The sequence below is a fragment of the Homo sapiens genome, chromosome 15, assembly GCF_000001405.40.
Source record: "Homo sapiens chromosome 15, GRCh38.p14 Primary Assembly".
Classification (NCBI taxonomy): Eukaryota; Metazoa; Chordata; class Mammalia; order Primates; family Hominidae; genus Homo; species Homo sapiens.
In genome coordinates, this window is record NC_000015.10 from 91706863 (window position 1) to 91716898 (window position 10036).

At 41.4% G+C, this 10036-nt stretch overlaps 1 pseudogene, besides 1 other annotated feature; it reads right to left on the reverse strand.

Annotated features, from left to right (window-relative positions):
• Window positions 4210-4282, reverse strand: TRY-GTA12-1 (tRNA-Tyr (anticodon GTA) 12-1; annotated as a pseudogene).
• Window positions 5588-5822: a silencer, noted in NCBI's record as "fragment chr15:92255680-92255914 (GRCh37/hg19 assembly coordinates)". NCBI's record gives its function as "represses an EF-1alpha promoter that drives an FKBP-Casp9 reporter gene in an ReSE screen in K562 erythroleukemia cells {active_cell/tissue: K562}" and the evidence as "EXISTENCE:reporter gene assay evidence [ECO:0000049][PMID:32094911]".

The following is a 10036-nucleotide window of genomic DNA, read 5'->3' on the forward strand; positions in this document are numbered from 1 at the left end:
ATTCACAGGATTCCTCCTCGGAGTTTCTACGTTTAAAAAAACTTAAGATCTTCCCTTTGTTCCTCCAACCCTGGAGGAGGTTGCCACTTCTGCTGTTCTGACACCTTGAAACCTTTGTCTTTTTTTTTTACCCTCACTTAACTAGATAACTATTTCATACCCAGATAATAATTCTTTTATTTTTATTCTTTAAGTTCTGGGGTACATGTGCAGAACGTGCAGGTTTGCTACATAGGTATACACATGCCATGGTGTTTTGCTGCACCCATCAACCCGTCACCTACATTAGGTATTTCTCCTAATGCTATTCCTCCCCTAGCTCCCCACCCCTTGACAGGCCCCGGTGTATGATATTCCCCTCCCTGTGTCCGTGTGTTATCATTGTTCAACTCCCACTTATAAGTGAGAACGTGCAGTGTTTGGTTTTCTGTTCCTGTGTTAGTTTGCTGAGAATGATGGTTTCCAGCTTTATCCATGTCCCTGCAAAGGACATGAACTCATCCTTTTTTAGGGCTGCATAGTATTCCATGGTGTATGTTCCAAATCGTGAGTGAACTCCCATTCACAATTGCTACAAAGAGAATAAAATACCTAGGAATACAATTTACAAGGGATCTGAAGGACCTCTTCGAGGGGAACTACAAACCAGTACCCAGGAAATAAGAGAGGACACAAACAAATGGAAAAACATTCCATGCTCATGGATAGGAAGAATCAATATCGTGAAAATGGCCATACTGCCCAAAGTAATTTACAGATTCAATGTTACCCCCTTCAAGCTACCATTGACTTTTTTCACAGAATTAGATATAATTCTTGATGTTAAATTCTCTCTGTTAAAATAACTGGTGTGCTTTTTGTCTCCTTATTATACGCTGACTGACACAGGTTGAAGTCTGAAAATATTTCAGCTGCCTGTTGTCTCCACTATAGGGCTTCATAGGGTACCAATGTCCTTGTTAGGATGCTCTGACTGGCAGGACCCCTGGGCTTTCCTGCAGAGCCCTGCATCACTCCTCTTGTAGTGTTTTCATACTCCTCACCCAGTGTCTTAGCTCAAACTGCTACAGAAATATATCATGGCCTGGATGATTTAAACAACAGAAATGTATTTCTCACACTTCTGGAGGCTGGTACTACAAGATTTGGTTTCTTGAGAGGTGAGAGCTCACTTCCTCAAGACTTCCTTACTGTATCCTCACATGGTAGAGAGAAAAAGAGCCAGCAAACTCTCTTTTATCTCTTCTTATAAGAACACTGATTCCATCATGGAGTTTCCACCCTTATGACCCCATCTAAACCTAATTATCTCCCAAAGGCCCCATTTCCAAACAGCATCGCACTGAGAGTTGGGGCTTCAACATAGGGGGTGGTGCATAATTCAGCCCATAGCACTCAGTCACCACTCAGCCCCGATTCTGCCTCTGGAAGTTCCATGCTCAAGTACCCAACACCTGCCCTTGTATCATAGTTCACAGCCTAGGCTTCTGCTCTGGTCTTCCTCAAGATTTTCCAAACCCCTAAGCCTATGTTAACTATATTAACAACTGGTTCTCGTAGGGGGAAAAGTTCTGTTTTGAAGCTTTTCCAAATTTCTGTGGTGTGTTAATACTCCTACCTTGGTCAATTTCACTGAAGACAGAATTGGGTAGAGATGCGCAGTAGCAGTATAATATATTTATATATTGTAAGATATATTCATTACATACGTTATATATTAGTTATATATATTATATATTAGTTATATATAATATATATTAGTTTTGCCTTATAGTTAAAATAGACGTACGGAATCTCAAGAGCACAGATAATGGAAAAATATAGTAAAATAACTAAAAATGGTGAGTTTTGAGTATTTTTCTCTATTTTTACTAATTTATTTAATTGCATGTTTATTTACTTTGAGTTTTAATGGTTTTGTTTAACAACCAGATCACAGAATTTATAAAAAATAACAACTGGCTCTTACCAGCCAATAAAAGCAAGTTCACCTAGACCACTGGTCAGAGCTGCACCCACAAAGTGTCCCCATTCCCTTGTGTATCTGTGGAACTCTGGGTCTACACAGAGCAAACACAATGTGAAAAACACATCCCTGGGGTCCAGTGAATCCAGGTTATTATTCTACTTCATCCCGTCACCACAGCCACACATCTCAGAAGTCAGTCAGTGATCTCAGGGAGCAGCCGTAAGGTATCCAATTGCAGATGCTCCAGAACTCCAGGAATACCAGCCTCTTGCTATTAGAAGGTGATACAGGGCATCCCTTCTTGCTTTGCCCAGAAGTACCTGCGTTTTCCTTTTGTGAAAAGTCATCAGCTGACTTGAGCAAGAAAATAGAGCAGAAGACAAATTAAAGAGAGGTAGGAGCAGGGGACGATTTAAAGTGGTGGAATTTTCTACTCTTGGCAGAGCAGAAGCCCAGGCTGGGAACTATAGTGTAAGGGTGGGTCCTGGGGACTTGAGCATGGAACTTCCACAGGCAGAATGGGGGCTGGAGGGGTGACTGGGTGCTTTGGGCTGAACTGTGCCCATCTGCCCCAAATTCATATGGAATTTGAACCCCTCAGTGCAATGGAACTTGGAAATTGGGCCTTTGGGAGGTAAGTAGGTTTAGATGACATCAAGGGTAGAAGCTCCATGATGGGTCCTAGACATTGGTCAACCTTGAAGAAGACCTACCAACTTTTTTACTGCAGAACTGTACATTTCCCACAAATCTTGCAAAGATCAACTTATCTTTTCAGCAAAGCGTGGTCTCCCAAACTCCCCTGAGGTCTTGACCCTCTCAGGGACTCAAAACCAGGAATCGGAGTTCAGGTTCAAGTGCATTTCTCTCCTCAGGACCCACTAATATCTCTATCGCCCTCACTTACCATTCCTCGTTCCAATCCTTTCCACTTAATAGTTCAGAGGCACCTGCATTTCCCTTAAGGCTGGGAATTTTGGAAATGAAAGCAAAGCAAACTTTCTGCCTGCCTTCCCCGAATCAATAGACAGACCTTACCTGTTGAAGAGCAAAGGAGGGAAACTCAAAGAACAAAGGCAGTTAATATTTGTGATGGTTTCTATAAATCTCAAATATTATAAATATTAACTCTTATGATTGTAATGTGAAATCTTGTTGAAATTATTGGTGCACTTATAATGAAAGCCTTTGCATTGGGCTCCCCACTACATCAAATGTCTTACCTGAAATATTTACATATACTTGTTCTATCTCAGGGATCTCTAAGGTCAAAATCAAAGTGGCTTGATTAAAATCATCAGAGGCGTTTGAACCAGAGTGACTCCATCTTAAACGGGGCCTGGGTAAAATGAGGCTGAGACCTGCTGGGCTGCATTCTTAGGAGGTTAGACATTCTTAGTCACAGGATGGGATAGGAGGTCAGCACAAGATACAGGTCACAAACACCCCGCTGATAAAACAGGATGCAGTAAAGAAGCCAGTCAAAACCCACAAAAACCAAGATGATGATGAAAGTGACCTCTGTTGGTCCTCACTGTTCATTATATGCTAATTACAATGCATCAGCATGCTAAAAGACACTCCCACCAGGGCCATTACAGCTTACAAATGCCATGGCACTGTCTGGAAGTGACCCTATATGGTCTAAAAAAGGGAGGAACCTTCAGTTCTGGAAACTCCTCACCCCTTTCTCTGAAAACTTATGAATAATCTACTCCTTGTTTAGCATATAATCAAGAAATAATCATAAGTGTACTCAGTCAAGCAGTCTTTGCCACTCCTCTGCCTATGGAGTAGCCATTCTTTTACCTCTTCTCTAATAAACTTGCTTTCACTATATTCTGTGGACTTGATCTGAATTCTTTCTTGCATAAGATCCAAGAACCTTCTCCTGGGGTCTAGATTGGGACCGCTTTTCAGTAACAAAATCACAAAATGGAAAAATGTTGGCCAGACTTAATACTTGAATAATAAGGTGTCAAGTTATAACCTTGAATTAATTCCAGAAACAAATTAGTTCCCGACAGTCATTTAAAATGTCAAATTTGTCTTGCTAATTTGCAGACAAATTAGCAAGTCAGTTCAGGTCTGTTAACAGTTAACATTTTTAAATATTTGCCACATGCTTAGCACTGGACTAAGTGCCAGTTACCCAGAGAAGCAGTCACTATTTTACACCCATTTTACAGATGAGTATATGAAGGCACCTAATTTAACTTGCTGAGGGTCACAGTTAGTAACGGCAGAGATGGGAATTGAACCCATCCAGTCTGGGTTTACAGCCTCTTCACTTAACCGTTGTGCAACACTGACTCCTTTAGTCTACGCCACTTAACCCTGACTGCCAAGAATTTTCTAGAGTCTGAAAGCTTCAATAAAAAAAGCTTGAGACTCTCCCTGCCTCTACTCTCTTTTCCCCTCTCCATACCTGTTTTTACTCCTGAGTTCACACAGCCTATTTGATTTTGAAGGTTCAGTCTTCAACTCAGAAAACAATGAAAGTGCTGCCATCTACTTAATGACCCCTTCAAATCTCTTGTGACCCACGATCTCACACATGAAAGAGTCTATGCCGGATGCTTGAGTTTTCCCAAAATAATACCAAGGGCTAATGTCCATGGGGTGCCTCCCATGTCCTCGGATGTGTCATATTTTCAACATATGGTAGTCAGTAGCATCATTTACCACATTACCAACTTTCACTCTCACAACTACACTGAGATATAGGTGTCATTATCGTCACATTTACCCACGAGGAAACTGAGGCTCAGTAAAGCTTAATTGCCCTGTAAATGTCTCACAGCTAGTAAATGATGCAGCTGAGATTTGAACTCTTGATGATGCCAGGCTCTGCCATAGCCAGCTCCTCACTGTAGTGCTCGGCCTCTTGGAGTAATGATGGAGAGAGTCCCCAGGCACACATTGCGTGAATTACACTTAACTACTGGAGAGCCTTATTATGCGTTTTCATCTTCTTAGTGCTTTCTAATTAAAAAGGAGGGGAGTGGTGATCTTTTTGCTCTCTAAGTTCTGTTTCCTCTGAGTGGAAAGCAGAGGGCCCCCTGTGACAGACTTTGCGGAATAGACCTCATTGTATCGAATCAGCTGTTTAAGTGCAGAGTTTTCCTCTGTCCCTTTTTACTGGAGAAAGTTAATTAACATCATAGCCACTAACCACTTACCTATGCTTAGTCTTGATTATGAAGAATATGGGAATGTAGTTAGTCGCCTGAAAGTCTAAAAGTGTGCTCCTATTGTAAAAGGCTTTAATTAATAGGAGTAATAACAATATTAATAATATAATACTCCTTAACATCAACTGGGTGCTTGCAAAGAGCCAGGTACTCTGCTAAGTGTTTTTTTTTATTTAATCCTCCCAAGAACTTTAATTTGAAGCAGACACTATTATTTTTCTCTTTATATGGACCATAAAGAGTCCAAAGTGAAGGTTACTGTGAAAATGAGAGATCTGAGACAAAAACCCAGGGTGCACAACTTGAGGGCCGGCAATGAGCCTCGATGTTGCCATAGCATCCGTGTCTGAGGCAATAGGGATAATAAATCATTTCCTTTTCTATTGTGCCAAAATACTCCTTTACTCATGCAGAACTCAAAGTCACGAACTCTAAGAAATTGAAAAAAGACACGGCCATAAACTGAAGTTACTGACCATTTGACTGTAACTAAGGAGACCTTTTCCAGACCCTTGAGTTTGGGTAAATGGTAGCTAAGCCCAAAGCAAGTCACATTCATCTTCCCAGCAGGTGCCCCTCTGACTGAGACTTAGGCAAGGCAAGGGTTGGTGGCCTTGAGCGGCCGAGTGCAAAGCTGGCTGAGTGGTACAAATGATCAGCTCTTCCAGATAAGGCTGGTCCTGCACGGTACAGATCCTCCAGGACCGATGCTCAGGTGGGGTGGGAGGTGGAAATTAGACAAGCAATTGGAATCAGGAGGCTCCTGCTGAACGCTGATATTTACGGGCACACTCAGGCCCCTGGCTGTCTCCTCTACCTTTCCCCAAACCCCTTCTTTTTGTCCTTGTATTCATGATTTCACAAACTGTTTTCTTTCCCCAGAATATTTGTGCATGACCATTAAATACCCTTCTCCAACTCCTGAGACCCTTTTAGCCTCAGCTTTAAAACTCATTTTTTTTCATGGAAACCTTTCCTGACCCCCAGATGAGGTTAGAATCCAGTGTTCCTGTACCAAGGAATTCTCCTTTATTTCACAGTGCATAGGGCAACTGTGAATATTTATTTGTGGATTTTTGATTGAATGTCTGCTGTCAGTGCTTGATTGTAAATCCTATGTCTTATTCTATCTCTAGCCTGGCACGGTGCTGGGCACCTGATGGGCCCTCATAAATATTGATGGTATTTGTGTCCCAGGGCTGTGCTAACAAAGTACCCAAAATGGGGTGGCTTAACACAGCTGAAACTTATTGTCTCATGTTCTGGGGGCTGGAAGTCTGAGATCAAGGTGTTGGCAGGGCCATGCTCCCTCTGATAGGTCTAGAAGAGAATCCTCTCTTGCCTCTTCTACCACTGGCCTTTGCTGGCAATCCGTGGTGTTTCTTGGCTTGCGCATCACTCCAGCCACATGGCTAGCTCCTCCCTGTGTGTCTTTACACCATCTTCTCTCTGTTCATGTCTGTCTCTGTGTCTAAATTTCCCCCTTATATAAGATGTTTTAGTCACATTTGCATTACTATAAAGAGTACCCGAGGCTGGGTAATTTATAAAGAAAAAAAGGCTTATTTGGCTCATGGTTCTGCAGGCTGTATAAGCATGGCAGCAGCATGTTCTTCTGGTGAGGGTCTCAGGAAGCTTTTGGTCATGTCAGAGGTGATGGGGAAGCAGGGATGTCACATGGCAAGAGAAGGAGCAAGAAGGAGAGGAGGAGGTGCCACGCTCCTTTAAACAACCAATTCTCATGTGAAATAACTAAGTGAGAACTCAGTCATTACATACAGGATAGCCCGAAGCCATTCATGAGGAATCTGCCCCCATGACCTAAACACCACTCACTAAGCCCACCTACAACATCGGAGGTCACATTTCAACATAAGATTTGGAAGAAACAAATATCTAAGCCATATCATAAAGACAACAGTCATATCAGATTAAGGTTCACCCTAATGGCTTCATTTTAACTTGATTGCCTCTGTAAAGAATTTGTTTCCAAATAAGGTCATATTCACAGGTACTGGATGTTAGGACTTCACATATCTTTTGGGGAGGGGACATAAAATAACCCGTTACAAATTATTAAACTAATAAACATGTTTGGACATACCTCTTAACCTTTCTCTGCTATAGTTTTTCTCATTTGCAACATGATCATAATACCTGTTTCAATCCCACATAGATTTCTGAGATGGAAGAAGTTAATGGCAATAGCATATAACATTCTTCTGCCCACCAGTAAATTTGATTTGACTGACCAACATGTTTTTGAATATTTTAAGTATAGTTAGACCAAATTATAGGTGATATCAGAATAAGTTCCAAACAGCTGGAGAGCAGAAGTTATATAATACACAGAGTCGAGAATGTCTACACCCAAATCAGGCATGTGGCATGACAAGTGCAGTTACTGTTGGGGTAATGAAAGTGACTGTAAGAGAGGTACTGGAGTTAATAGCAGAGACTGTTGGTTCAGAAAGACCTGGGTTAGAATCCTGGATCTGTGGCTCATTTTAGCTATGGAAATTTAGTCCCTCTGAGTCTTAGTTTTCTCATCTGTAAAATGGGTTAATAAGCCTTTAATAATCCCTGCCTAAGGTGATAGAAGAGATTGAATGACGTGTTTTTATACATGTTTAGCAGTGTCTAGTACATAATAACCATTCACTAAATGGTAGAATATGTCAGAACCACATATGATATATATTTGGACTGTGCTAAAATTCTAGCCATGAAATTGCCATAGTTATGTGGCAAATTGGAAAGAATAAAGGGATGATCTACGGTGGCGCCTACCTGTAACAGATCTCTCAGGCCCTCAGCAGCCTCTTGGTGCAACCAGGGGAGAATCATGAGAAACCTTCCTTTCTTCTGTGTTTCTTTCTTCTGCTAGCAGCAGACACCCAAGAAAGGCTTAGAAACTAATGACAATAAATTGTGTCAGTGGTGGATGTCCTTGATATGGTTTGGCTCTGTGTCCGCATCCAAATCTCATGTTGAATTGTGATCTCCAGTGTTAGAGGTAGAGCCTGGTGGGAGGTGATTGGATCACAGAGGTGGTTTCAAATGGTTTAGCGCCATTCCCCTAGTGCTGTCTCGTGATAGAGTTCTCACAAGATCTGGTTGTTTGAAAGTGTGTAACACTTCTCCCTTTGCTCTCTGTCTCTCCTGCTGGCCATGTAAATATGTGCCTACTTCCCCTTTGCCTTCTGTCATGATTGTAAATTTCCTGATGCCTCCCCAGAAGCAGAAGCCTGTACAGCCTGCAGAACTGTAAGCACAATTAAACTTCTTTTCCTTATAAATTACCCAGTCTCAGATAGTTCTTTACAGCAGTGCAAGAACAGAGTAATACAATCCTGAACCTCTTGGAACAGATGTGAATGGATTATCACATCTGATGAAATGGGGCTTCTTTTTACAAGAAAGAAGGGACAAGAAGATGAAAGCAACTCTGCTGAGTGTTCCTAGCGGAATATCAGATTGTTCTTTGCCATCAGGGAGAGTGAACTGAACCATTGCTTGAGATCAGGAATGTTAAGACATATACTTCAGTGACAAAAGGCATTATGAGCACAGAGCTCCAGCTGCCTGGGGAGCAGAACTACAGCCAGTATGGCTGAGTGTGTCAGTGCCAAAGTGCTGGCAGTTTGTTAGACTCCTCAAGGTGTAGGGCTTTCATTGTGAAAACTAAGTTGGTGTGGCGTTTTGAAGTCCAACAGACCTTGATTCAAATCTTGCCAGGCTACATCCTAACAATGGGTAAATTACTTAATGTCTGAGTCTCAGTTACTTCAACTGAGAAGTGAGGCTGATTCCTATGTCCTAAGGCAGTTGAGAGAATTTGATGAGATGGGATATGCAAAGTGCCTAGCAGAGTGCCTAGACTGAGGTAAACAGCTGATAATAGAATCAGTGCCACTGCATGTTGGAGGTAGAATTGAGTACAAGGAGAGACCCATACCCTAGAAACCAGACCCCAATTAAAATAGCCAGGGCTCAAATCCTGACTCAATTACTTACTTACTATAGGGCCATTTATCCCACTTGGTAGAAATATTGACAGTGATATAAATATTTATTTATATTTATCCCATTTGGTATAAATATTTACATTGATTATGAAGTGCTGCCCCAGACCTCACTAGAAGCATTACATTATATGTGGTATATGAATCACAGTACCTTCTAAAATTTCAGAACTTCTCAATTCTGAAATCCATCTGGCCTCAAGGGTCCTAGATAAGGAACTGTAGACCTACATGTAGAACTCACTCCATGGGGCTGGGTGGACTGATGGAGTGATCTATGTAGAATAGAGCCCTGCAGCACATAGAAGGGCTCAGAGAGTGCAGGCAAGGACAACAGGAGAATCTGACTTCTGTTTTCCATACTTGCTGCATGACCTGGGGTGAGCTACATAACCTTTCTCTTTCCCCTTTGGAAATGAGCATGATGATCATGATACCTCACTTGTTATGAAACAAAATCAGCTGATATATATAAAGCACTTGGTAAAGTATCTGGTACCTATTAGTAAGGGCAAATTCTTATAATTATTGCATTTTATGTGTACATGAAAATTTCTCTTTTATAACAGGCATGGCATCACAGCAAAACTCAGGAAACAAGGCAGACCAACTTGTATTGGTATTCCAAGAATTTTACAGGGAATAGAAAGGTTACACGGTATATTAATCCAAACTGACCTTTTGTGCTTTCTTTAATCCGATTAAAGCACTTTTCATTAAAATAGTTTTATTTTTACATAATGCTACTGACGGATTTTTTTCCTCCTAAAAGTTCTGATAAGACAAAAGCAAGAGGAAAATGGTTATCTCTTGCTTGTAACTACACAAGTTATTTCAGATAGATAGAT